This window comes from Homo sapiens, chromosome 14 (assembly GCF_000001405.40).
Source record: "Homo sapiens chromosome 14, GRCh38.p14 Primary Assembly".
NCBI lineage: Eukaryota > Metazoa > Chordata > Mammalia > Primates > Hominidae > Homo > Homo sapiens.
The window spans coordinates 68,643,491-68,671,043 of record NC_000014.9 but is presented as its reverse complement, the minus strand read 5'-3'; the positions used below and the strand labels follow the sequence as shown (position 1 = coordinate 68,671,043).

General features: G+C 46.9%; 1 protein-coding gene and 1 long non-coding RNA gene across 2 annotated transcripts in view, besides 4 other annotated features; one reads left to right on the top strand and one right to left on the bottom strand.

Moving 5' to 3' along the window:
- Positions 1 to 27,553, bottom strand: part of RAD51B (RAD51 paralog B) — an 863,318-nt gene that overhangs the window by 12,053 nt on the left and 823,712 nt on the right. The window lies entirely within an intron of this gene.
- RAD51B-AS1 (RAD51B antisense RNA 1) overlaps positions 1 to 27,553 on the top strand; it is a 49,673-nt gene that overhangs the window by 14,397 nt on the left and 7,723 nt on the right. The window contains exon 3 of the long non-coding RNA XR_007064220.1: positions 18,376 to 18,486. This is a non-coding gene — a long non-coding RNA (RAD51B antisense RNA 1). The remainder of the gene's footprint in view (positions 1 to 18,375; positions 18,487 to 27,553) is intronic.
- Positions 606 to 1,106: an enhancer, noted in NCBI's record as "H3K4me1 hESC enhancer chr14:69136655-69137155 (GRCh37/hg19 assembly coordinates)". NCBI's record gives its function as "activates a minimal SCP1, AML or CMV promoter by ChIP-STARR-seq in naive H9 embryonic stem cells {active_cell/tissue: H9 hESC(naive)}" and the evidence as "EXISTENCE:reporter gene assay evidence [ECO:0000049][PMID:30033119]".
- Positions 1,107 to 1,607: an enhancer, noted in NCBI's record as "H3K4me1 hESC enhancer chr14:69136154-69136654 (GRCh37/hg19 assembly coordinates)". NCBI's record gives its function as "activates a minimal SCP1, AML or CMV promoter by ChIP-STARR-seq in naive H9 embryonic stem cells {active_cell/tissue: H9 hESC(naive)}" and the evidence as "EXISTENCE:reporter gene assay evidence [ECO:0000049][PMID:30033119]".
- Positions 7,473 to 7,662: an enhancer, noted in NCBI's record as "active region_8611". NCBI's record gives its function as "activates an Ori minimal core promoter by ATAC-STARR-seq in GM12878 lymphoblastoid cells {active_cell/tissue: GM12878}" and the evidence as "EXISTENCE:reporter gene assay evidence [ECO:0000049][PMID:35858748]".
- Positions 12,832 to 12,960: a silencer, noted in NCBI's record as "fragment chr14:69124801-69124929 (GRCh37/hg19 assembly coordinates)". NCBI's record gives its function as "represses an EF-1alpha promoter that drives an FKBP-Casp9 reporter gene in an ReSE screen in HepG2 liver carcinoma cells {active_cell/tissue: HepG2}" and the evidence as "EXISTENCE:reporter gene assay evidence [ECO:0000049][PMID:32094911]".

The following is a 27,553-nucleotide window of genomic DNA, read 5'->3' as shown; positions in this document are numbered from 1 at the left end:
CCCAGGCTACCATCTTGGGGGGGCCAGCAGCAGACGCCAGGAGCTGGCTGGCATCAGGGTGCAATCTGGTCATCACAGAAGAGACCCTTATCCTTGGAGGGTCTGTGAGCCCACAAACAGCTGTTTGGCTTGGCTCGCCTTGGCTAGTAGCATTTCCAGCAGAGATGAGCAGGAGATGGATGGGTGGTGGAGAGCTGGCAGTGATAAGAAAGAAAGGGTCTTTGGTACTGAAATGAGATATTTGTGTCTCTATCTTCAAATGGACAAGTTCTGGCCTTCGACCACTTTGCTGGCAAACTTAAGTTTTTCCATTGTTGCCTGAAGCACTCCAGTGGAAGATGAGAGTGGATGGACCTGCCAGGGCTGCTCTCCACATGAGAGGAGGATTAAAAGTAGCAAGTGGCCAGGAGGGCAAGGGCTGTGCAATGAGACAGAGGATGTGAGGGGTCAGGATGTGAGAGGAAAAGCCATTGCTGGGCATGGCTGGGGACTGGAGGCTCCCAGGGATGGGAACTATGGCAGCAGTTCTGGGCTTTTTCCACATCTGTCACCCTGGCCTAGTGCCCTCTCCTTGGATTCATGAGACCAAGAAGCAAATGTAAGGGAGGAAGGACTTTTCAGCAGAAATGCCCATAAAGAAAGACTTAGTCCCACCAGCTGAACTGCAGAGGGGTGGGCCGGGGGGCACTTGCCACTCTTCCCTGACTCCTAACCATGACTTTCTCACTCAAAAACCATCCATCTGTCCACTGTTCCACCAAGCCCCGGAGCCCCATGCTGATTTCCTTTTGGAAGAGCCCCAGCTCCCAGGGTGACCTCAGCAACAGCAGGGCCCACGGACGGTTCCAATCCCAAACTTCCCGTCACAAGGAAGGGTCGGCCTGGTCTGTGGAAGTTACAATAACATAGTGGCTGTTTATGAGCAAGAGCCCTCAATAAAGTCATCGGGACGGTTCTCTCGGCAGCGTGTCTAATCTTCTCTGGCTGCCATTCTGGGCGCTTGGCTCCTGATCTATTTTGGTCTCTCTCTTCTTTGACTCATTCTGGGACTTCCGTGCCATTAATCTGAGCCCCCCACCAGGGCCTGGTCCCACCAGCAGGCAGACAATTCAGAATTAGCTGCAGTCATGGTTGTCCAAACTGACAGGCAGGGAAACTGAGGCACAGCAGGTCGCAGGTCCTTGTCTCATCTCCCACAGTGACCCGGCAGCACAGCTGCCAGCAAGGCCCAGGGTTCTGGCTGGGGCTTTAGCTCTGGAGTTGTTACAGAAGGCCAGGGGCCATGTGAAATTTCACAAAGCTCTTACTGGGCCCCACTTGGTTACAAATCCCAGGGCTCTGCTACAAATGTGATTGTGATGGGAATGCAATGGGGGTGGGGAGTGTGTGTGTGTGTGTGTGTGTGTGTGTGTGTGTAAGTGGCGGGTTTGATAGTGTGTTTGAAAGCCTTGCATGCCTGGAATTTGACAAGCACGGAATAAAGACCAGAAAACCCAAAATAATGGGGAAGAAAGAACAAAGAGTCTTCCCAAAGCCATGGTTCAAGCTGTGGGCAAATGTCTTCCTGTTTCTCATCCAAAAGTCCCTGCCCCTAGGCCCAAGGGGCTGGCTGGGCTGGTTTGGCCAGTCCAGGGCCATTCTGCAGCCTCAGGCCTCTCTAGATGTGGCCTACGTGCTCTGGAGAGGGAAGCAGGGGAGGCAGGGAGGCAGTTAGGGCTTTAGACACTTTCTAGGTGCCTCAGGGGGCCTACATATTTCCTATGTAAAGTTCAGTCTGTTTGCAATTAGACTTCTCTTCTTTGCTTATTTCCGGAGGGATTATAAATAGTGAAATCAGCTTAATTTGGCTCTCTCTGAGATCAAGAGGCCACTGTTTCCAACAGTCTGAAAATACCAAGCAGTCCCACCCACATCCATGGGTCATGCCACGTGGCAGGCCTGGTAGGCTCTCCGTGATGAAGGAACTTTAAGTTGCATGAGTTTTCAACAGGTAAGACTCTTTCTGGACTCTAGCAAAGATATCGTCTTTTCAACTTCAACTAAAATAGAAAGAATCCAGCACTGTTTAGGTCTTGAAATCCTCTTTCTTTCCTTAATGAGCTCAAAGCTGTAAAAGGTCTTTCGGGAAAACCCATCTTGGTTCAATTACTTTACCAGTTTTAGACTTTTCTTGGGGATTTGGGCACAGAGAAGATCCTGAGCTGCTTCAGACATGCAGATGCTGCCCCTGACTTGTCACCTTCAGCACAGCAGGTGTCTGAGGTCATTTAACCAGCGATTGGGAGAGATGTCACGGATCAGCGTGCCTGGGGGTGCAGGAGAACAGCCCGCCATCTGTGAGATGACTCGGGCGGCAGAGGGGAGCCATGGATCATAATTCCTTTATGCTCTACCTTAGTCAGAATGGGAATGGCTACTGCTGTAGTGACAAATAGATCCCCATGTCTCAATGGTTATGCCACCTGAAATGTGGCTTCAAGATTGCTGCCATCACAGACAGAGCTGGAGGGCTGCTGTGATGCTTTTAAAGACAAGCCTTGAAAGTGGCTGACATGACTCTGTCCACATCCGTTTGGCCAGGATCTAGTCATATGGCCTCCACCTAACGGCAGGGGAGGCCGGGAAGTGGAGTGGAATGCGTGGTTTTCGATGAGCAGGTATCATCTGGGGCTTTGACCTGGAGTCATCAGCCACAGGCCCTGAAGCCTAATGAAGGTCCTCAGACAAAACTCTCATGAGGCTGTGGACAGAGTGGTGCTGAGGACTGACAGAACTTGCTGATTTGCCATCCCACCATCCCCTGCTGGCACAGATGCCCCCAGGAATGTGGCTGCTTCGAGGAAGTATCCTGGAGGGTGACCCCAGGGTTGATGTCAAGATGGAGCCTTTAGCAGGTAACTGGGGAGAAGAAAAATGAGCACCTGGGTATTCATTGAAGCAGATATTTCCCAGACCCTCAGCAGCCAGGGGTGAGGCCCTTTCATGGACAGCACAAGGATTGGTAATCACTTGTTTCCCAGCAGACCCAGGCCAGGGAAGTGCTTCTTTACATCTGCCTCAGATGAGGATCTCCCACAGGCCTCACAACGGGGAAAATGCTTTCTCCTGCTGGAGTTACCTTACTGAAGGCTGATCTGCCTTCAGTTAGGTCTGTGGATACATCCTTAGTTTTTGGGGATCCACGGGGCAGGGTGTAAGTGTTTTTCTGGCATGGTAGCTGGGAGGAGAATTCCTCAAACAGTGAAAAGTAAACCAATGGAGATATAATAAATAAGAGCTGACTTACATACTTTAACCACAACAGAAATAGTAAAGCATTCTGTCCAGACTGAATTGAGCAATCATCATTAATTTTCTTCCATCTGGGAACTAACAGAGCTTTGTCAAGGGTTCATTATTTGCAGTGTCTACCTTAGTGTTGGCCTGGGAATCCAAAGCTGAACCCTCACTAATATATGGAGGAGCATGGGGGAATATTGGCTCCAGCTGGATGTAATGGTTAATTTTATGTGTCAACTTGGCTAGGCTATGGTGCCCAGCTATTTGGTCAAATACTTGTCTAGATGTTTCTGTGAAGGTAGTTTTTATATTTGATTTACAATAAAGTCAACATTTACAACCAGCTGACTTTAAGCAAAGCAGAGAAACTGCCAAAATAGGTGTGGACTTCATTAATCAGTTGAAGGCCTGAAGAGCAAAGGCTGAGGTTTCCTGAAGAAGAAGGAATTCTGCCTCCAGACTGCAACAGAAATTCTGCCTGAGTTTCAGAAATTCTGTCTGAGTTTCCAGCCTTTGGACTCAAGGCTGAAGCATCAACTCTTACTTGCTCTCCAGTCCACCTAACTTCCTGCAAAATTTCAGATTTGCCACCTCCCTCCACCGCCGTCACATACGTCAATTCCCTTAAATCCATCTCTCTCCATCTCGTCTATAGCTACATCTCTCTAGATACATCTACATTAGTCAGAATGTGAAAGGTTATGCTGCTGTGGCAAATAAACCCCTGCATCTCAGTGGTTATGTCACCTGAAACACGTGACTTCAGGATTGCTGTCATCAGGGAAGAGAGAGCTGGAGGGTTGCTGAGTTGCTTTAAAAGGCCAACCCTGAAAGAGGCAGACATCACTTCTGTCCACATCTACATATGTATATCCATATCTAATCTATCTCTATATATAGAGGGAGATCCTGTTGGTTCTGTTTCTCTGGAGAACCTTTATAATACACTGGGGGAAAAGCAGATTAAATTAGAGAAAGTAATTTCATGATGAGTAAATATTTTTATTATTTCATAGGAAAAGGGAGTAAATAATAGGGAAATAGAAATTGTGATGATATAAATAAGGGAGTTTCACTATAGCAGTAATACTTATTACTATGTTAAGCATACCAAGAGGGGTGTAACAAAAACGAAACTCAATAGAAATGGTCTGGTTGTTTAATAATTTCATTTCCAAAGACATGATGCTTGCTGATGGAACTTCCTGCCTGGGGTTCACCCTCTTCCTGTCTGAGGACCTCCCAGTACTGCTCTCCTCACATTTAAGTATGTGATATGCCTCTGTCTGTGCCCCTGAGCAATAGATTGTGCTTGCAAAGTACAGATCTATTGCTGGCCCTGTCTCCTTTCTCTTAGTTCCATTTACACTTAGGAATGTATTTTTAAACAATAGCTGTAAACTACGGCTCTTTGGTTGCCAGGGACAGAAAGTCATCTCAAACTGCTTTAGCAAAGGGGAAATCCAATGGCCCATGCAACAAAAAGATCCAGAATTAGGGCCAGCATCAGATATAAATTGATTCAGGGATAAAATAATGTGTTATCAGGACTTGGGTACTCTCCATCTCTCAGCTCTCCTCTCTGCTATGCTGGCTTCAGAGTCAGGTTTCATGTGACAGAAAAATCTCTCAGCTCTACTCTCTGCTATGCTGGCTTCAGAGTCAGGTTTCATGTGACAGAAAAATGACAGCAATTCCAGCTCTATACCTCTCAGATTTCAGGTTCAAGGGGGAAAGAGTGAGTCCCCTTCCCAGAAGTCCTAGGGAAGACCTTAAGGTATCTCATTGGCTCTGATTGATCAGATGTCCATTCCTAAACCAATCACTATGCCCAAGAGAATCTAATGCTCTGATTGGCTTAGGCCTGGGTCCTGTGCTTCACCCTGAGTTGGGGGTAAAGTTGGCTGCACTGAAATCTCATGGACTGAGAGCAGGGCATGGTGTGGGATTCCCCAAGAAACAGGGGCATGGGTACCAGAAGAGAGTGGACGGGTGCTGATGGAGTAAGGTCACTTAAATAAGAAAGCTTAAACATTCATAATCTAGCCATTCGTGGAAAAGCACCTCTAGGGGCAGTACCAATGTGAAGTTTTCATCATTCTTTTGGCTGCCCCATGATCCCTTTCCATATGTGTTTGGTATAATCACCACTGCCAGGGCCATACAGTCCTATTAGTAAAGCGTCTTCCCTTGAGTTCTTCTCCTGACACCAGCTCTAATACCAGTGTCTTCCCTCCAGAGCCTGATTATAGACACAGTTTGGGATGGGTTGGGGGAAGTATATTTCTGATAAAGTGATGTTTCCACTTCACACATATGACTAATAGGGAACTTGGCCAGGAATAACTTTTTATACAGTTTTGGAAACCCTGGCCTAAACCATAAATCATAAGATGAAGCTCGATCCTTGTCTTTTAACTTAAAACTCAATATCCTGCCTGAAGGGCAGAGCAACAGAGGAGCCTGAGATAGAGTACCCAATGGCGTCATCCCACTGGGATAGCCCCCAGGCCTGTGACGAGGTCACCTTCCCATGGCATTGCCCTCCGGGGCCAGGCAGAAAGCCTGAGCTTGGCCCCTCACTCCATTCTCCTTGCTGTCTTGCCAACAAAAGCCTTAAAAGTCATGGAAACATCTCTGGTTTTCTAAGTCAAGAGATTCCAACAACAGAGGTCAAAGAGTCACATGGGAGTATGTGAAAGGGCAGATATATCTGGGCAGGAAGATGCTTACCCTTGGTGCATTATGTGAGTAGGGGAAGAAAGGGGCTGAAAGGACAGAAGGAACATGGCAGGGCTTAGGGCTCTCAGGAGAGAGAAATAGGAGTGGGGCACATTGGCAGAAGAGGCTGAGAAGAGGAGTTTCTCTCCCTGGTTGAGAATCCAGGGCATTTTTGTCATGGATTTCCATTAGGAGTCACATCCAGAAAACTGCCAAGCTTCTGACCCAGGAGATAGAGGATAAGAGGGCACAAGATGGCCCAGAGGATGAGTGGACACATTGATAGTTGAGTGGTAAAGGCTCAGGAGTAAGGATTGGGGTTGGAGCAGCAAATAAGCACATATGAACCCAATGTGATCAAATGCTAGCATGACAGAGTAGGTGGGAGATTCACTGGCAGCAAATAGGTATCCCGGGGTGAGGAAAGAGGGAATTGTGCTCTCTTTTCCAGCAGGGAGAGCTGTATTCCTCCATCTTGGCAGAAATTCCAGCTTTCACAGGGCCCAGATCTTTGGGGAAACTTGTTTTGCCCTATATCAGCTAAAAATAGTCGGGTGAAATGCGACTGACCAGAGAACCTTTAACCTCTTTCAGATTTAGCTTTTGGACAAAGTTAAGAGACTCTCTTCTGAGCTTATTTTGGTAAGAATATCATTGTGGGCGGGGGTGGATGTGGTGGGGAGAAGCTCTGTAAGGGCAGAGGTTAAAAGGTGCCACATTTTCTTAGTTTGAATCAGTAGGAATCATCCTTGGTGGTTGGGGGACTCTAAGATTATGTAGAAAAGAGATAGGGGAAAGGTGTCAGAAAGAATGTAACTACAGCCTCCTAGAGTAGTCTTTGCTAAAAAATTATGTTGACAATAAGTGATAGAATTGACTGCCTCTCTAGCTAATAAAATAACAGCAACAACAATGCTTATTTTTTCTTACTCCTGTTTGGGCAGGATTTGGGCAGATTACCTGAGGTCCAAATTCCCTGGTGGACATAAACAGGAAAACCTTGAAGCTTATTGCTAGCGTATTCTAGCACCAAAGCAATACCCTCAATGGTTAGAGTCTGTCTTAATAATAATCAGAATAACACATTTATCAAGTGCTTATAATGCACCTGATGCTAAATTTAATGTTTCACAAATATAATCACATAAAATCCTGACAAAGAATTTGTGAGAGGGGACTACTGCTCCCATTTTACAGAAGAGAAAGCAGAGGCTCAGAGAAGTTCAGTAACTATAGCTGGAAAGCGGTGGAAATCAAGTTCAATCCTGGTTAGTTAGACCACAAATTCCGTGCCTTTAACTCTTATGCTATTCTCACCAACACCTACACTCCCTCCCACGTCTAGCACTGTTAGGCCTAAGTCTTTAGGCAATGACTCAAAATATGAGTGTATTGGTCAGCGTTCTGGCAGGAGACAGACGGCACACTCAAATGGGGTAATTGAGCAGAATTTAGAAATGTCACTACTTACAAGTTATGCGTAAAGCTAAAGGAAGCTAACAAGGAAAGATGAAGCCCTCCAGGGCTAGCAGCGGGGGGAGCCTGAAGGGTAAAGGGGGCGAAGTGAAAGAGAAAGTATCTGGAGGAGAGAGCCATTCATCAGGGGCTATGGCCTTAGATACAGGGGCAGTGGAGAGACACAGCCAAGCAAGGGCCCATTACAGTAGAACCAGGAGGATAAATAAATATCTTGACCTTGTCCCACCCATCTCTCTCTCTCTCTCTCTCTCTCTTTGTTTTTGAGATGGAGTCTCACTCTGTCACCCAGGCTGGAGCACAGTGGCTAGATCTCAACTCACTGCAACCTCAACCCTGCTGGTTTCAAGCAACTCTCCTGCCTCAGCCTCCTGAGTAGCTGGGATTATAGGTGCGCACCACCACGCCTAGCTAATTTTTTGTATTTTTAGTAGAGATAGAATTTCACCATGTTGGCCAGGCTGGTCTCAAACTCCGGACCTCAGGTGATCCACCCACCTTGGCTTCCCACAGTGCTGGGATTACAGGGGTGACCCACCACGCCTGGCCCCACCCTCCTGTCTCTTGCTGGTGCCTCCCACTGGCAGAACCCAACTGAAGCCAGAGGGCAAGGGTGCCCAGTAATGCGGTCCACAAGGTCAGCTTCCTGGGGTACAGAGCAGTGGGGAGGAGGATGGGGTGGCTGTGGAGGGGCAAATGGAGATGCCCAGCATAATGAATTAACACGTACAGCTGTCTGAAGGCTTCTGCTTTGAACTCAGGGTTAATTTCTCTCATCTACAAGGAAAGGGATGGCTTATGAAGGCTTAGGAAAGAAAGTGATGATCGTTAGGAATCAGCATGGATTTACCAAGAAAAAAGATGACTACTCACTGTACTTTTTTGGAGGGAGGAGACAGGATTCCTAAGTTGGTAGCACATGGCATTGTGGTAGGCAGCAGAGCAGACAGCTCATGGCTCTCTTGAGAACAAGGAGGGCTGGAGACAGTGTCACTGGGACAGCTGGGGATGTGCTGAGTGGCCCTAAAGCTGCTAACAAACAGATGGATGTCAGCCTGCTGGGTGGTTCCATCCGTGTCCCAGAATCTCCCATGACCGTTCTGTTTCAACAGTTCTATTAGAGACTAGGAAGAACTTTCAGAGGCAGCTGACATCTTGGATAACAGAATTAGAATCTCCTAAGATCCCAAAACAGTTTGGATTCATGGTGGCTGAATGTAACAAGATGAAATATAATAGGATTAATGTACATCTGGAACCTTGGGGCTAAACAAATGGAATTTTATACATGCCCGGGATGGGGCAGGTGTGAAAGACTCAGGGGTGTGTGTTGACTGTAAAGTCGACGTGAATCAACCTGAACAGTTACCAAGAAAATTGGTGTCATCTTAGGTGACATTAACTGAAGAAGAGTGTTGAAGATGAGGGAGGTATTTCTCCTGCTGGCCTCTTTACTGGTCTGTCCCACTTGGAATGCCACTGCACTGCTTTTAAAGGAGAAGCAAAATGCAATGGATCGCATTTGCTGACAGCCATGGGGATGGGGGAGGGGACTGAGAGTGTGTCACACGAGAATGTGTGAAGGAAAAGCAGAAGAGATAAATAAGAGAGCTGGCAAATAAAAGAGAGGTTCTCAAGTGTCTGGAAGGTAGTCATGTTGAAGAGCCTTGTTGGTGGAGGACAGAAAGAGAGTACAAAGACCACTGGGTGATGGCTAACTGGGCCAGCCTAGAGCACAACCTGCTGGCAGTCAGAGTGGGACGTGAGGTGGTGAGTTGGCTTCCCTTAGAGATGTTCGCACCCAGGGCTGTTGGAGAAGAGACCTCTACCGGGCATGAAAAGGAGGGCGTGTTGTCTCAAAGGATCTCTGTTGAATTCCAATGCCTGGCCACATGAATATGTTTGCATGCCACGCCCCCTTCATGCTAACACTTCCTTGGGCATACCAACCCATGATGGAGTGCATCCGCTCATAGTTTTCAAACTTTGGAGCATCCAGCATTCTCCTTTAAGTGACCTTTGGGAATCTATGGAGATGCAGATTTCCCCAGCATCACAGAAGGAACCAGGGCTTTGGGGTCTGGCAGATCTGGGATTGAATTTCCCCCGGGCCACTTCTGGCTGTAAGATCTCAAACAAGTCACATTTGGCATCATCAACCCCTGGTGCAGACCCCTGGCAGGCACCAGGGATTCCAGCGCGTGCAGCAACAGCAACAGACATGGTTCCTGCCCTCAGGAGGCTTACTGCTCTGGTCTGTCTCCTGTTCTGTAAAGCGGGAATAATTTCTCCTGTTCTGCAGTGTGTTTGTGGAATATGTGGGAATCTCAGAGTTGGTTCCCTTTCCGTTCCTTTCCTTGCAAGGAGCACAAAACTATAGTCATTCACGGGAAACCACGGATACTCAGAAACCCTCAAGGGCCCTTGTGTGAAATCTGTCCCCCTCTTTCCTTTCAAAAAGGTTGCTGACATCAGGCCTGCCTGTCACTGCTTCCTAAATGGCTGGCCTTCCTCTGTGGCTGCAGCTCCGCTCAAGCCACCCATTCACTGACTTTCCCCTGAAGGCTCTAGGGGACTTTCCCCTGGAGACACTATACGCGATTTGGTGACATGTTGATGGCAGATGTGGGACAGCCACTCTTTCTTAGCAAGCAGGACTCCCTCATTTTGGTGGTCCTGGGTTTTGATCCTGCAGAGTTCTCAATGTTTTGGCTGGGTGAGAAGTCGGCCAGTTTCAGAATTCACTTATCAGCTGGAAACAAGTGGCTCTTCCTACCCATCTTTCAAGGTTCAGCCCAAACACCGCCCCCTCTGGGAGCATTGCCTAGTTTCTCCCCTTCCCCTAAACATTCTGTGCCGCATAACCAAGGACTGTCAAGGACTGGTCTCATTTCCTGTGTGTTCCCACTTTACAGAACAGGAGACAGATCAGAACAGTAGCTCCCTGAGGGCAGGAGCAGTGTCTGTTGCCGCATGCTCTGGAACCCCGTGTCTGCCCAGGCTCTGCACCAGGAGCTGATTCGGTCTCCCAACTACAGTGTAAATCCTCAAGGGCAAGACCAGGTCCTCTGATTCTCTGAATCCATCAGAATGTTTAGCTCCATTTTGGGGAGATAGTAGATGCCCAATAAAAGCTTGCTATTGGATTCTTATCCAAGCTTCTCACAAATCCCTTTTTAAAGTGAAGAGCAGAAAGACTAAGCATTTATTCATTCAACCAGCATATTTTGCAAAAATCTCAAATCCACGATTCACAAACTAAAAGCTACTCAGCAGCACGTCTCACGTGTCCAGCCCGGTATTTTTCTGCTTTTTGTTTTTAATTAGTGCAAATATTTTTAAAAACAGGATACTTTATACAGAACTCTGGATTTCTAGGCTGTCTTAAATACCCAGCTGAAACTGAGTGGTGGTGCCCCCTTTAGATGGGCCAGCCTTCTTCAAGTCAGGGCAGTGCTCACCTGGCTTTGCTCCTGTGGGTTACTGCCAGCCCCCATTGGCATTTGAGTTCGTAATCCATGGCTTATTCGTTTAAAAGCTACTGACATCAATAGGAATCTCACAGAACAGTGAACTCAGAGACACCTGATTTCCTTGGTTTATTTCTTGACCCACTGTAGGAGGTGCCAACCCCCACCAGCTCAAGATTCTTTCCCCCGCATGCACCCTAATGCCCATTGCAGGTGTCAGCATCTCTTGTCAGTCCTACTGATGCCTCCATTGGCAGCAGGCTGAGCGTCCTTGCCCCAGAACTTTTGGGGAGTGCTAAGGTGGGCAGGTGTGTTCCCTGGCAGGGCATGGCTCCAGATTGGGCCCATAGGGCCCCAGCAGCTGCCGTCCATGTGTCGCTTCCCAGGCAGAGGGAGGGCGTCTGGGGAGACCACCCACTCAAGGGCTGGGCTGCCTCTCCAGAATCTCCTTTCAAAGACACCCTGGGAAGCGACCCTTGGCTTGCCCCGGTGCAGTGTCCTGAGGTTGCCCAGGCTCTCAGGGCAGTCGGGACCCTCCCAAGGTCCTGTTTCCTGCCCTCTGCAGGCCCAGATTTCAAAGCTGTCAATTCACTCCTCCTTTCCCTCCTACCCGCCTCCCGCCCTCTTCTCCTCCCCAACATTCTTTGCTTCTTGTTTATATTGCAGAAAACATCTGCGAGAGTAAATGACTGAGATGAAAGATCTTGGCAAAGGGCTATTTTTCTTTGCTTGGCTTAAAGGGGGACAGATGAAGACTTTAGCCTCATCCTCGCCTTCCCCAGCGTGACTCCCTCCCCCAGCTTCCAGAGAGGAGAGAAATGGGATCTGAATGAAGACAGACCAGAAGGTGGCCCAGCCGGCCCCAGGGCCTCACGTCCCCAGGCAGGGGAGATTGTTTTTCCTGTGGAACAGGCTGGCCTGGAGGAAAAGGCTCCGTGGGTGGAGAGGAGGGGTGCAGATTAGCATGCTTCTGCAGGGCTTTCCCCCAGCGCTGTCCACTCTCTGCCCTCCCTCCAGGCCACACGGTCACCCTTGCCAGCAGCAGACCTTTGTCTTGGGCTTGGTGGCATGTTATGGAGGAGAGACCATCCCGCCAGCCTTTCCTCCCTCCCGCCCCTCTCTCCTGAGTGGTTGTGCTGTGCAGGGAGTGACATCCTGGGCTGTACAGCCTCTCTCTTACTCCAGGGAGCTGTGTGGCTTTAGACAAGTTAATAACTTCTTGGGTCCTCAGTTTCTCCCTTTGTAAACTGGGGATAAATATACCTGCTTCACAGAGTTGTAGTGAGGATGAAATGATGTAACAATGCATGCTCCACACAAAATCAGGCACTTAATAAATGGTGATGACAATGGTGTTGATGATCAGGAGGACGAGGATGATGATGATCTGGTGGGGTGTGGGGCAGAAGGCAGGGAGAACCCTGAGGCAGAGTCTCTAGGTGACTTTCTGTAGGTGACTGAACCTCCATGTTTCCCTCTGTGGATGGAGTGTAGTTCATTCCGTCCTATTCCTTGTAGAGGGATTGTGAAGTAGGGCTGAGTGATTACACTTGGTGCAGATGAGATGAAGGGGTGATGGGGAAACCAAGCTTCACTATCCTTGGCACTATGACGGCTGTTTTCCTCTGTGACTCTTGGCTGCCCTGGCACTTGCCAGCTCTCCTGCCTGGCCATTGTCACCAGGGGGCACGGGCCAGTGGCCCTCATCATCTGAATGAGCCCCTGTTGCCATGCACCATGAGGACAGGTCTGTCAGTGCTGCCCAGGGCTGAGTGTCCTGAGCCCCAGATTCTCGGTCCGGGCAGCCCCCACTGACATGGCACTGGTAGCACCAAGGTTTCCAGGGTGGCTGGCTCAGAGGCTCCCACAGAGCAAGGCCAGGGACGTGGCTGTCCTCAGAGAGCAGCTGGGGAGCTCTCCCCACCCCATCTCACCTGCCAACCCAGCCCAGAGCTCCCTCTTTTTCATGGTCCCTGGTGCTCCTGTCGGAGTTGTGCAGTGGCGATGCGCTTCTTGGCAAGGGCAGGGCCAGATCTTAGGAAGACCTCAGTGCCTGGGCCAAGGCAAGGAGCTGTCACTCAGGCAAATAATGAGCAGATTTTTACCAGGTGGGACAGGTAAGTTCTGATTCAGGTGTAGGAGGAAGAAAGTCAGCTCATGGGCAGCAGCTTAGGAGGAAAACAGCTGGCAGCTGAGCTCCAGGGCAGGAGATGTCCTCTTATCCCATCTTTGTCCAGCCTGGGTCCACCAGGCTCACCAAATGAATCTAGGGATGTCTGTTTATGAAGCATGAAGCTGATGAGCACAGAGCAGAAGGTCCAAGCCTGACAACCTGTCCTGGCACTTCTGGACCTGCTCTGTCAAATCCTCCACACACTAAGGAGAAACAACCTTTTCCTGCCTGCAGGCTTCCTTCAGTACACACATAGGAAGAAAAAGCCTGGATCAATCTAGCCCTCCTAGACACAGATGCCTGAAGCCACCAGACTGATCTCTGCAGGGGCCGAGGCAGCAGTCCTAATAGATGGACTATCAGCTCCTATGAGCTGGACCCTGGGCCTTGGCCCCCCACCAGGCTCACTTAGTATATTATTCAGCTCTACATTTAATGATGGGGAGGCTGGTGCAGTGGCTCACACCTGTAATCCCAGCACTTTGGGAAGCCAAGGTGGGAGGATTACTTGAAGCCTGGAGGTCGAGACCAGTCTGGGCAATATAGCGAGATCCTGTCTTTACAAAAAAATTTTGTTAAATGACGGGGAAACTGAGTCTCAAGAGGTCAAGCAGCATGCCCTAGCCATGAAGTGCTAAGTTTCAGCTGCAGCGTCAGGATTTGAACCTAGATCTCTGTGGCTCCAAAGCCTCAGCATTCCCCCCACCGCGAGACCTACAATGTCCAATATGGATATCACTAGCCACATGTGGCTATTTAAACTTAGGTAAAGGTTCTGTTTCTCAGTCACACCAGCTCCATCTCAGTGCTCAATAGTCACATATGGCTAGTGGCTGTCCTACTGGACAGTGCAACTCTAGAACATTCCATCTTTGTAGAAACTTCTATGTAGAAAGTCAAAGGCAGCACTATGACTAGGTTGTACTGAGGCTCTTTCCTGTTTTAACCAGGCTGCTTAAACCCTTTTATTCAGCTGCAAACTCATCTAGTCTCTGACATACACCCTGTCCTCTCTCCCTGTCTATCCTCAAAGAGAGGGTGGTAGTTCTTGATCCCGCATAGTGAATGGGAACAGTGTGGAGCAGAGGGGACAAGTGACCCATGGGGGCTGGGAGCCAGGAGCTCAGCCCGGTCCTCTCTGCCATGCTGCACCTTCCTTGCTGTGTCTGTGAAAAATTGGGGCCTGGCTGGTCCTCTCAGGGGTGGGGGACCTGGGGGCCTAACTCAGTCACCCGCCCAGGCAGGCCCAAAGGTCACACTGCCGGCCTGCGGTCGCCTTTTCAATTATAGGACCCTGAGAGCGAGCTCTGGGCCAGAGCGCAGGAGAAAGGGGCTCTGTGTGGGAGTCCCGGAGCTGCTCTGCACCCCTCACAGAGGCCAGCTCTGTGTAGTACTGCCCAGAGAGGCTGGGAGGGGTGGCAATCTCTGGCAGCACACAGCAGCCTCCCTGTTCTGATACAGGCTCCTGCATGTTAGGCCTCAGTCCTCAGTTACCCCATTGAGAAAAGGGGGAGAAGAATCTGAGAGCTGGACAAAGGTTTTATATTTTGGGATTCTGTGCACAAATCTTACTTGAGTTTCTCAGCTGCCCTAGGAGGTAGGCAGGATACCTATAGTCATCTCTGTGGGTGGGCTGAGATGACCAGGCTCAAGAGAACCCTGCCCCAGATTGTCCAGCTAGATGGCAGCAGAGGAGGAGGCTGCCTGCTGCCAGGTGAGCAGGGTCCAGGCTTTTCAAAGTCACTGACAGTGCTCAAATCTGGTTTTGCCCAGCCCGAGCCCCTTGTACATGGTGCTGTCAATGCCTGCCATTCCTGTGGGTTCTCCTGGCTCCTGCAGGACAGGGACTGTGTTCTGCTCCTTGCTAAAAGCCAGCACCTGGACCATGCCTGGCTCTTAGAAGGCCCTCAGCAGATATCAGATGGATGGATGAATGGCTGTGGTTGAATGTGGGCAGAATGCTTGGGACAGCAGTGTCACCTGGTTCCTGTCTGCTGTGAGGCAGTTACTTGTCTCAGAGAAAATAGGGAGATGGTAGAGGCTGGGAAATTATAGTCTCGATTTCCTCCTTAGCCAGCCACTAGCAACAGAGAGAAAAGACCCCGCCGATCTGTAAGATGGAAGCTGGTGTTCCTCACGTCCCACCTCTTAGGGCCGGTTTCCAGCTCCTCCCTGCCCTCTTGGCCATGGCTGCTGGAAGCCAGAGGCCCACTCTGGGGGCTGACTTCCGAGATGTATGCCAGAGTGCCCCGCGGGTGGGCGTCCCTGGCAGGCCCTGGCTGTGCAGAGGCTGTAACTGGAGCAAGAGCTGTGTGTCAGAGGGTACACGGCTGCACAAGAAGACCTCAGCCAGGATGAACTAAATCTGCCCATCTCCCCCACACGCCTGCCCTCTCCCCCGACCTGAGCAGGTTTGCAATTCATCCGCCGTCCTCAGATGCTGTTCCTGCTATCAGATGATGAAAATGGAGATTCATCTTGAAGAAAGAAAGAAGTAGCTCGCTTCCCCCACACCCCGTCTATTTGAGCCCCTCCCCTCCCCCATCACCATGTGTTCCTGAAACCTGGGGCTGTTCCAAGTCCTAAATGTGCTGGAAAGTATAACCCTGAGCAGCTGTGAACCTGCTCAGGCTGCCGTGGCCCGGGGTGAATCAGAAACCAAGAGATAGGCTAGCTAACAATGCAGCCCCTTGTTCCTGCATTGAGAGAGAGAGAGATCACCATCAGCACCGGGCTCCTGAGAGTGGGGGCAGCTAGCTGGCGCACACACATACACACACACACACACACACACTCACCATTTGCCTCCTGGCACAACCCACTCACCTAGCCCACCCAGTGTAGGTGTGCTGGGGAAAGGTGTTACATAGCAGGCCTGAGACCATCATGACTGCCTGGTGGGGCCAGCCTCTCTCTAAGGTGTCTCCATCCCAGCCTCCTACTCCCTCCTTTCACTCTAACTTACCTGGGAAGGCAGGGGGGGAGGGAGCTGGAGGGGAGGGCTTGCATGAAGCCAAATGGAGTGGGATTGTCTTGAGGTTTTCCATTGGGCTGGGGAGCATGAACGGCAGTGGGATGCACAGCCAAAGCGGGTTCTTGGAGCCTGAGAGGGTTTGGGAAAGCCTGTTTACAGGAACCAGACACCCTGAAAAAAATAACTTGCAGGCAAGTTTTGAAGCAGGCCTGGTCATGGAGCTGGCAGCCACTCAAGGCCGCGGTAGAGTTGGGGGCCTTCCTATCAGGCCTGATTACAACTGCTCACGATCCTCACCAACTGCAGGCAGGAAGTGCCAAGCACCCACGGGGGTCTAAACCACCCACAGAAACAGCCCTGTTCACACGCACCACATCCTGGGAGATGGGGCGGGGAGTTCTCTTCCCATCACAAATGGAGAAACTGAGGCTCAGGGCCATCTGCCTGCCAGGCACTGACAGCGACAAAATTAGCAGCTCATGTCCTTAATGCAATTCCTAAAGGGGGTGGGGGGTTCTGTCCACCAGACATCTCCCATGAGCCTGATCTAAAAGCAAACAAGGAGGGATGAGCAGAAACACACCCTGACGTAAAGGTGTCCCCACAGCCTCATCTTCCCAGACAAGGTGGGCACAGCCCAAACTCCAGAATGCTTCTGGGATAGAAAAAAGCCTTAATGCCAAGACCGAACCACCAGGATTCCATCAGCTCTGTAGCGCTGGGCTTATTCCCTGTCTTCATCTCCACTCAGATATCCTGCACGTTCTGCCTCAGAAAGAGCTTTCAAATCCTGCCCCTTCTGTTCCCTTCCCAAGCACCAATGCCTTCATTCAAGCCCACATCATCTCTTCCTGGAGTGTCATCAGAGCTTCCTCTCTTCGTCATGCCATCATGCCAACAATCATGCTCCCAGCTTACAAACCTTCTTGCTTTCCCTAACCTCAGGATCAAGTGCAAGCATCCCAGTCACACAAGGCCCTTTAGACACTGGGGCCAGCCCCCATTCATCCTCATCTCCTTTTGTTCCTACCCAGTAGCTGCCATGTCAGGCAACTGACTTGTTCTGTGGTACCCCTGTGCCTTTGCACATGCTGTTTCTCTGCCAAGAATATCCTCTCTCCAGCATAGTCTCTACGTGGAAAAATTGCACCCATCCTTCAGAATTCAACTCCAGTGCCCTCTGTGCATGGGCCTGTGTTCGTGTCTCCATGGTAGGGCTTCTTTGAGCCGTAATGATCATTTGCATATCTATCTATCTCATCAGACCAGTGGTTCTCAAATTGGGGTGATTTTGGCTCCAGGAGACATTTGGCAATGGCTGGAGACATTTTTGGTTGTCACAATTTGTGTGTGGGGTGGTGCTACTGGCATCTTGTGGGTGGAGGCCAGGGATGCTTCTAGACATCCTACAATACACAGGGCCATCCACACAATTATGTGGCCCCAGATGTGAGTTGTACGGAGGTTGAGAAACCCTGGACTAGTCTGTGTATCTCTTGAGGCAAATTCTTATTTGTATATCCACGGCTAGGTCTAAAGAGGTATCCTGTAACTGTTTTTTGGCTTTGTTTTTTTGAAAGACAGGGTCTTGCTATGTTGCCCAGGCTGGGGTGCCATGCTCATAGTGCGCTATTCCCAGTCATGCTCATAGTACGCTACAGTCTCCAACCCCTGGCCTCCAGGCATCCTCCAGTCTCAGCCTCCTGAGTAGCTGAAACTACAGGCATGCACCGAGGCACCCAGCTTTCAATAACTGCTTTTTGAATAAATAAATGAGCAGACTGACTTAATAGTTATATACTCTCCACCTGTGGGATGTGGGTCACCGTGAGCCCACCAAGTTAGAACTTAAGAAAGTTGACTAATAGTGAGTGAACAAGCATATTGACAAGGATAGAATAAAACATGCGTGTGAATCAAATGCTTTGCTTTCAGTGAAGAAAAGGACCAGCCTATTATCAGAGTGGACCTCAAGTTAGGTATGAACACACATCATTACTGTAGCACTTCTTTTTAAATTAGGGGCCTGTGATTAAGAAGTATCAGTAAATTGCTCCCCTATGCTCACAAAGCAGATGTCAAACCCTTAGCAGGACAGAGGACTCAAGGCCTGGCCCTACTTCCTACAGGGGATATGGCCAACTTGGAGATGGTACAGAGACAATCCATGCAGATGATGAAAGCTCTGGATACCTAGGCCCATGGAAGGGAGGCAAAAGGAATTGATATCATTTAACTTCAAGAAAGTAATGACTTGGAGGGTGTCCTAACATATTTTCCAGTAACACAGGAGGTGATTGAATGGAAGGAGTGGCCAGTCACTCTTTGGCGTCCAGGATCCAAGAAGAAACAGATGAGGAGGAAGGAGGATAAACAACTTCTGGACAAAGCGAGTAAGTGAAGGTTGGGCAAGAACGCACAGCACGCATGGCCGAGGGTCCTAGAGGATGCTGCACCTCTGCCTCTTCTCTAGACGGGATCCCTTTCCCACAGCTAGTGCTGTTGGAGGGCTGGGGAGGGGGCCGTCCAGGCTTCAGGCCTTGCTTTTAGAACTTTCCTTTGAACTGGAAAAACAGGAAAGACCTGGGGAGACTGGGAGGCAGAGAGTAGGAGTATCAGGGAGAAAACAAGGGCGAGCAAGGAGAAAGGACAGCAAGAGCAAGAGGCGGCTGGAAAGACACCAGGAGAATATCGGGGCTGCGTGGCCTCGGCATCTGGAGCGCAGACTGCGGGCTATATTTAGATCGCCATGACTTGCAATAATTTGTGCAAGGGGGGAAGAAAGGAAAATGTGAAGTTGGCGTCGTGTTGGGAGGGAATGAATTATAAGAAAGGAACAGCCCTATAGAGGTGAGCTGTGCCTGAGGCCTCAACCCTTGGTCTCTAGGAAAGAGCCATTGAGCAGTGCAGGCCATCAGGAGTGAGTGATGGTGTTTACTGAGCCTAATCCAACTCATGCCCCCATTCCCAGATGCGCCCTGTGCTTCCCACCAAGAATGTGGGGCGCTGGGCGTGCCAGGTGGCCTGTCTACCACAGCACCAAGACGGTTCCGGGATGATTCAGGGTCCTTGCTGGAGAAGTGAGGGCCCAGGCAGAAGCTCTGGAGTGGGGTTCAGGGCTTACGTGAGCAGCACTCTGCAAATTCTAGGAATTTGTATACATTGCCGAGGCCTCTCTCCAGCTGGATTATAAATAGAGGATTAGTTCAAAGGCAGGCAGCCTTTTAAAGAGACGGTGCCAAGCGAAGCCTACAACCAAATACAGTCAAACCTTCTTCAGCCCGTTTGCTTCGTCCAAATAGCATATAAGTCACAGCAACGGCATTTCCCTGGCTGACAAGCTTCCCTGATGTCCTTTAAGAAGTGGTCTAGAGGGTTCGACTTCAGCTATATAGCAAAACCTCAGTTATCCAGAACAAAACCCATCCTTCTGGATAGTGGAGCTTTCCAGCTAGCTTAAGGTTTGTCCTTTTAAACATCACATGTGGCCGGGCATGCTGGCTCACACCTGTAATCCCAGCACTTTAGGAGGCCAAGGCGGGCAGATTACTTGAGTTTGAGACCACCCTGGGCAACACGGCAAAACCTTATCTTTACATAAAAATACAAAAATTAGCAGGCATGGAGGCAGACGCCTGTAGTCCCAGCTACTTGGGAGGTTGAGGTGTGAGGACCACCTGAGCCTGGGGGAGTGGAGGTTGCAGTGAGCCATGATTGCTCCATTGCACTCCAGCATGGGTGACAGAGTGAGACCTTATCTCAAAATAAAATAAAATAAACATCACATGTAAACATTTCATCATTTTGGATGGAAGTTTTTCTTAAAAAAGTCATATGCTTACCAGGTTTTAAAATAGAATATACTGATCTTAATTTCACATTTCTGTTCTACTTAGGGTCATATTTAGAAACTTCAGTTACTGTACTGTTAACCCAGTAGTGCCCAAACCTTTGAGATATGTGTGGCCATTTGTATCTCTTCATATTGCTATGCTTTTGAGGTTCTTGGGTCTACTTTATATCATTTTCTGATCTCTTCCTGTGGTAGTGGTTACTTTTCCCTGTTGTGAGGGAGAATGCTATTTTGTTCATACCTGTAGCAATCTCAGGACTCATTTTCTTTTAGTCTGTTCTGGATTGAGAAACCAGATATGCAAATGTGCCAAAATTCTGTGTAAACAAAAAGTAAATAGGTTGTAAGGAACCTAGCTTTTCCTATTTTGAGAGGATTCATCCAGGCTTTCTTAAAGGGTGATAGGCCATCCAGCCCTCTGAGAAACTAGTTGTTTTGAATTAGATGCTACTTTAAACACAACAGTATGGGCCTCTGTAGATAATGTTGGCTGCTTAGACATTTCTTGGCTCATCCCCAGGTTCTGGTCTGATTTTAGATAGTGAGGTGTCTGAGTAGCTTTGTTTGGGGTAGATAGATCTCACTCTAATTTGAAGTCTAAGCTCTCAAAGCCCTTGCATTTGAGGAAACTGAGTTTTCTGCCCACCTATGTGTCAGGCTGGTACTGTGATTAAACCCAGCACAGGTAAAAGACCACAGACAATCACCCTGCCTGCTTGTTCATTAATGTCCCATTTTCTGTGTTCTATAAGATCCTGGGGATTCTAAGCAGGATGCTGAGCAGAAGAGTCACATGTAGGATTAAGGAATGAAAAGTCAGTCACTGGGTTGTGAGTTGGTTCAGAGAAGTAGCTAGAAATTGAATATTCAAAATGGATGAAAATTGGTCAAGCCAGTCCAAGAGGGTGCAGAGGTCCTTGGGTAGTTTTTAGCATCTTCTTAAGCAGGGAAAATCTTTCGGTGGTCAAACAGAATTAGTGCTTTGTAAATCCCTCAAATAGCTAACCACCCATCAGCAAAGATCAGACATTTCTGATGGAGAAATTAGGCTCTGCGGGGGGAGTGACTTTAGAGTCTCCCAGACCAATGGGCCAAGAGGTGGCTCTCAGGAGCCCTGCAGCCCAGGCCACCACCATAGCGAGGCAGCCCTTGGTCAGCCTGTCTTAAGGCAGAAGGAGTCTCACCTTATTTCAAAGGGTGTCCTGAGAAGTGTTATTACATCTTACTCCTGTATAAAGGCTCAGGGTCAGACTGATTTTGTGCTCATATCAGTATCAGGTTAAAAGACAGTTGGTCTCTTTGCGGAAGGTGTTCATCATGGCCAATCTGCTCCCCCAGTGATTGGAGGAAATCTGCCCCATACAGCCCTGTCTGAGAGCACGCGACTCACCTCCCCTCTTCACACATGACTGGACCAAGGGTGGGCACTTGACCCAAGGGTGACCCATCTATTGGCTAACCAACGATGACCAATTATTGATGTGGCTTGGCACAAAAAGCTAAGGTTAAGTAAGATAAATACATCATTTCAGGGGAACCTAGACTTGAAAATGGAAAGACTGGGCTAATGGCCAATGGACACTTAGGCTGAAAAGTCATGCAAGGTATGGAGTGGGGCCATGATGTCCATCTGTGCGCTGATCTTGCAGAGAAGTGGAAACAGAGAGTACAAAGTGGGGAGTAGAGAATGGAGCAGAGGCTCAGAGAGAGAATGCTTAGAACATAAAGCCCCCAGGAGATGCCCAAGGTCCTGATAGTGTGTCTATTCCTGTGAGTCCCAGTTACCCCTGTGTTCCTAGCTGTGAATTTCTGTGAGCTAGCTTGGGTGGGTTTCTGTTCCTTGAAACAAAAAGAGCTTTGCCCAAGACTGTCACAATCAGTATAAAGCAAGCTGCTCAACCACGAGATGCTCAGAGCTCGGAGCTTGGAGCTGGGAGCTCAATCCATCTTAATGTGTCCTAATGTGCCCAAGGAATCCAATTTCTGTAACTTTTCCCCAGAGGACTCATTTTAAAATGTTTTAATCCTTTCTCTGATCACTCCAAAAGATCTCCACCTCTTCATGTTCCATTGCTATGACATGCGAGGGTTGCCTCTGGAGACAGCCAGGATTGTGCACACTGGACTCTTGGTCATCAGTCCTAGGACTGCACTCTGCTTGATTTCTAATAACAGAGTTGCCCTGCTGACTGACATGTAGATCTGTTTCTCCCATAACCTGATACTCCCCACAGGGTCATCGCCATCACAAAATGTCAGTGCAGGAAGAGGCTTGGTGAGCATCTGGCCCAACACTGTCATTGTAGTAATGAGGAAATTGAGTCCCAAGGAGGCTACATAACTTACCCCAAGTCAGGCAAAGTTGAATAACTTGTTTTTCCCTGTGTGTGTGTGTGTGTGTGTGTGTGTGTGTGTGTGTGTGTTTGTGTGCTTTTACCATTATTGAGCTTTGTCCCACTAGTTTAAAAATTCTTCGTTAAGCTTCAGAGGGCATTTTGAATTCTGTACATTTAAATTCAAATGAGTGTGCAGATGTTGCACAGAATTCTGTATGTGCCCCAGGCAGAATGAACTCACAAATATCCCACTAATACTTAGCTTTTATATGGCTGGTCTCCAAAGTAGGGTGTGTGCAAGTTGATTTATTGGGGTAAGGGGAAAAGATTAGAATGTCTTTTTCACCATAACAAATTAAAAGTTTAAAGGATGAGATACAAAATAGACATTCTAATCTCTTCCTCTTACCTCAATAAATCAACTTGCACACACCCTACTTTGGAGACCAGCCATATAAAAGCTAAGTATTAGTGGGATATTTGTGGGTTCATTCTACTTTGAGCACGTACAGAGTTTTGTGCAACATCTGCACACTCTTTACTCACACACATGCGGGTTCGAATTTCTCATTTTCATATATATATACGTGTGTATATATATATATACGTGTGTGTATATATATATATACGTGTGTGTATATATATATACGTGTGTGTATATATATATACACACACGTATATATACGTGTATATATATATACACACACACATCTATATACGTGTGTATATATATATATACGTATATATATATATATATGCTCAATTTTTAAAAAACTAATCAGAGTGGCTGGGTGCAGTGGCTCATGCCTGTAATCCCAGCACTTGGGAGGCCAAGGCGGGTGGATCCCCTAAGGTTGGGAGTTCAAGGCCAGCCTGATCAACATGGAGAAACCCCATCTCTACTAAAAATACAAAATTAGCCAGGAATGGTGGTGCATGCCTGTAATTCCGGCTACTCGGGAGGCTGAGGCAGGAGAATCGCTTGAACCTGGGAGGCAGAGGTTGCGGTGAGCAAAGATTGCACCATTGCACTCCAGCCTGGGCAACAACAACAACAACAAATTAATCAGTCAATCAAGGCTTTAAAATGTACTTCAAGTTTAGAATTGCTGTTCACAAAAGCACCATATAATGTGGTGAGGACTGTGTGTATTCATCTTAATTCTGCCTCATGTAGTCCCACTATGTTAGTAGTACTTGTACTTCAAAATGCAAAACTCATAAAGAATGATACAATAACCTTAACAGGCTCTAAAATTATATTTAATAAAATTAATCAAGTATTTCCTGACTTAAAAAAAACCTCTTAGAAAAATAAGAAGAGACTATTACTTTTTAAATACAAAAATACCTCTATCTTAAACCAAAAGCCAAGAAATTCTTAATGGCACAAAATGGGAGGCATTCTCCTTAGAGACAAAACAAGGGTGTCATCTATCACTTTTATTACATAGTTTTATGATGTAACAATTATTTTGAAGTTTTTGCCAATGCAATAAGACATGCAGTAGCAATAAGAGGTAAAAGTTCTGGAGAAGATCTGAATAAAATTAGTAGACTAGATTAATATAAAAGAATGAAAAAAATCAACAGGTGAAGCAAATTATGTCAGTTTCCTCCAGTGATCTGAGGATGAATAAATGAAGTTCTTTTATATTTAGAATTTTAATGCTGGAAGAAATCTTTATTTTTATTTTAATTTTTCCTTTAATCTCAGCTAAGTCTGCTAAGAAATCTTACATATATATCTGACCCACAGAAGATGCTCAATAAATATTTGTTGAATACATGAATGAATTATAAAATAGCCTCATTGTATAGTTAATATAGCAAGACCCAGACAGATTAAATGACAGAGAAGCTCACTTTTAAGGAAAATAGATTTTTCTTTATGTATAAGGCTAAAGTATCATCACAAGTCATTGTGAAGGAAGAGATTTTATTCATCAAATATAGCTGAAGCAAATTAGAGATCTGAAGAGAAGAAATAATTTAGAAACTCATTGAACACCATTTCCAAAGACACTCCATATAGTTTAGACGGTTAAATGTAGAAAACACTAAAAAGAATCAACACAGATTTCTTGAAGCAAATACAGGTGAATAGATATATGTAATCTAAGTAAGAAGGGGCTGTGGACTAAAAGCAATGGAAGAATCATGAAAGACCTAGAGATTAGAACACATAAGACGATCAAATGCCTTTACTTTGGCAAATAATATAAGCCAAATTAAAAGGCAGACAATAAGCTGGGAGAAATATTTGCAACAAAATGTGAAAGCCACAAAGCTAATATCCTTTAAGAGTTCTTATGGCTTGACAAGAAACACAAAAAGATAAATGAGCCAAGGACAGACACGTAGTTTACATGAAAGGAAATACAAAAGACCAACCTTTGGAATGAAAGGTCAGTTTCATTCATAGTCAAAACTTTGTAAATGATCATTTCCCACCTATCAAAGAAGCAAACTTTTGTTTATTCTTAAATGAAATAACTCAAAGCAGCCACTTTTGTGAGAAAACAGGCATTCTTACTTACTGTTAGTGGAGAGGAACCTGGCACTAGTTTACAGAAAAGCCCTTTGGCCAGATGCATCCAGAATCTTGAAAATGTTCATCAACTTTAACTCATTAATTTCATTCCTGGGAATAGTACGTATGGTTGGATTGCTAGATTTGGCAAATAAAAAAAAAAAGATGCCTAGCAAACTTTGAATTTCAGGTATATGATGAATACTGTTTTAGAATAAATTTGTCCCGGGGAATATTTTGAGTGTACTGACACTAACAAATTATTCATTGTTTATTTGAAATCTAAATTTAACTGGACATCCTGTATTTTATCTAGCAATCCTTGCCTATGTAAATAACCAAAAATGCAGCAGAAATTTATGCACAAATTCTCTGTTGCAATTTTACTTATGATAGCAAAAATATTGAAAGAAAAAAATCCTAAATTTCCAACAATAGAGGAATTGGAGGAGGGATGTGTCTGGAGAGTTTTTAATGACAGTGCTTGCAATATAATGTAAACTTAAAAAACCAAGCAAGCATCTTACACCCATTAGGATGACTATCACTAAAAAAAGGAGAAAAACAGGTGTTGGTAAGAATGTAGAGACATTGAAACTGTTGTACACTATTGGTGGGAATTTAAAATGGTACAGCCATTGTGGAAAACAGTATGGCAGTTTTCCAAAACACTAAAAATAGAATTACTGTATTAGAATCCAGCAATTCCACTTCTGGGTACATACCCAAAATAACTGAAAGCAAGGTCTTGAAGAAATTTTTGTAAACCCACGTTCATAGCAACATTATTCATAATAGCTAAAATGTGAAAGCAACCTAACTGTCTGTCGATGAATGAATGGATAAGCATAATGTGGTATATACACACAACAGAATATTATCCACCCTTAAAAATGAAGGAAATTCTGGTACATGCTACAACATGCTTGAACTTTAAGGACATTATGCTAAGTAAAATAAGCCAATCACTAAAAGACAAATGCTATATGATTCCACTCACGAGATACTTACAGTAGTCAAAATCACAGAGACAGAAAGTAGAATGGTGCTTGCCAGGGGCTTGGGAGAGGTGAGAATGGGGAATTAATATTTAATGGGTACAGAATTTCAGGTTGGAAAGATCAAAATGCTCTAGTGATGGATGGTGGTGATGGTTGCACAATAATATGAATGTACTTAGTACCACTGAAGACTACACTTAAAAATAGTTTAGGTGGTAACTTTTATGTTATGTGTATTTTAACACAGTGAAAAAATGAAACAAACCAACAAACTGAGTAGGGTCAAAGTTATAATCTCAAGTATATAAAACAATATGTGCAGGAGAGTAACTTACAAAATGCTAACAGTGGTTCTTCCTGAGTACTGATATTATAGGTTATTTTTATTCTCTTCTTTATATAGTTCTGTGTCATCTAAACTCCCTATGATGAGTGTATAAGACTTTTGTGGAGATGAAGTTAATTAAAAAAAAAAGCAAACGACAAACCAGTGCCTGATCAAAACCTGCACTATTGACATTTGATGACATACATAGGAGAGGCCAGACTAATCTGTGAGGGGAGATTGAAAACGGAGCAGAGATTCCACTTCTTCTCACATATTCCTGATCTTTAGGCAGAGATTCAGGAAGGAGAGCAACATTCAGTGTGGTTTTTGGGCTTCAAAAAGCAACAGCAGGAATCTGGGCCCTGTTTCTAGGCAGAGCCCCAGGAAGGCATTCAGGCCTTTGAGAAAAGATGCTGCAGATGGTCCTTAGATGGTCTTACCAAGTCCTGTGTGCCTCAGGGGGCTTGAAAGCCACTGATGGATTCCAGGGTCCCTCAGAGGGTCAGAGGAGTGGCAGAAAGAGGTAGAGCCTGTGGCCATGTGACTAGGAACAGGACTTATGGCAAGAGTCAGGGGCCACTGCCTGGGCACCAGAAAGGGGGCAGACACCATGGCCCTACACAGCCCTCCTTGATCCCTGAGGCCATAGGGGCAGCTTCATGTCTGAGCTCATTGTATGAATTAGAAGAACTCACTACTGAGCTCAGTAGGTGCTCATTGTATGAATTAGATGAACAAGTAAATGCTCGTTGCAGGAATTAGGATGCCAGCAATGCCAAGGTCAAGCCTAAAACAAGGCCCCTGGAAGAAGAAGGGAGGAGAGGGAATTATTGCACAGAGTGGGAGGGAAACAATGGAGGCAGTAAGTGGGGAGCATGAAGCAGGTTGTAGCAGAGTGCCCCAACAACAAAGGGAAAGGCAGGTGACAGCTACTGGGGAAGGCGAAGCCCAAAGCGGAATCTGAGAGATGATAGCTTACTAGTTCCAGTGCCTTCTCCCATCCAGAGAGAGGCCCCACCCCCTTTTCATGACCACTCCTCTCTCCTGGGAACCTGCAAAACTCTGTCAAAGGGGAAGCTGGGATCTAATGTTGTAGTGTTTGAGTCAGGGCCTTCCAGGAGGGGTGGATGGTCCTCCCAGACCTCCTAAAAAGGGGAAAACACAAGGAGCTGCTCTGATTTCCTGGCACATGTTTAGCATTCATATTATTTTAAGTGAGTTATATGTTCTGAACATATCTATCCATTTATCAGAGGAGTAGGATAAAACAAAGTAATAAAAAGCAGGGAGGAGGAATTTTATCTTGGATCTATGACTGCTCTTTTCTCCCCTCTGAAATAAGGAGTAGAATGGTTTAGCTAAAGCACTTGCTTATTTTAGAGGGATCTGGATCTTTATCCCCCCACCAC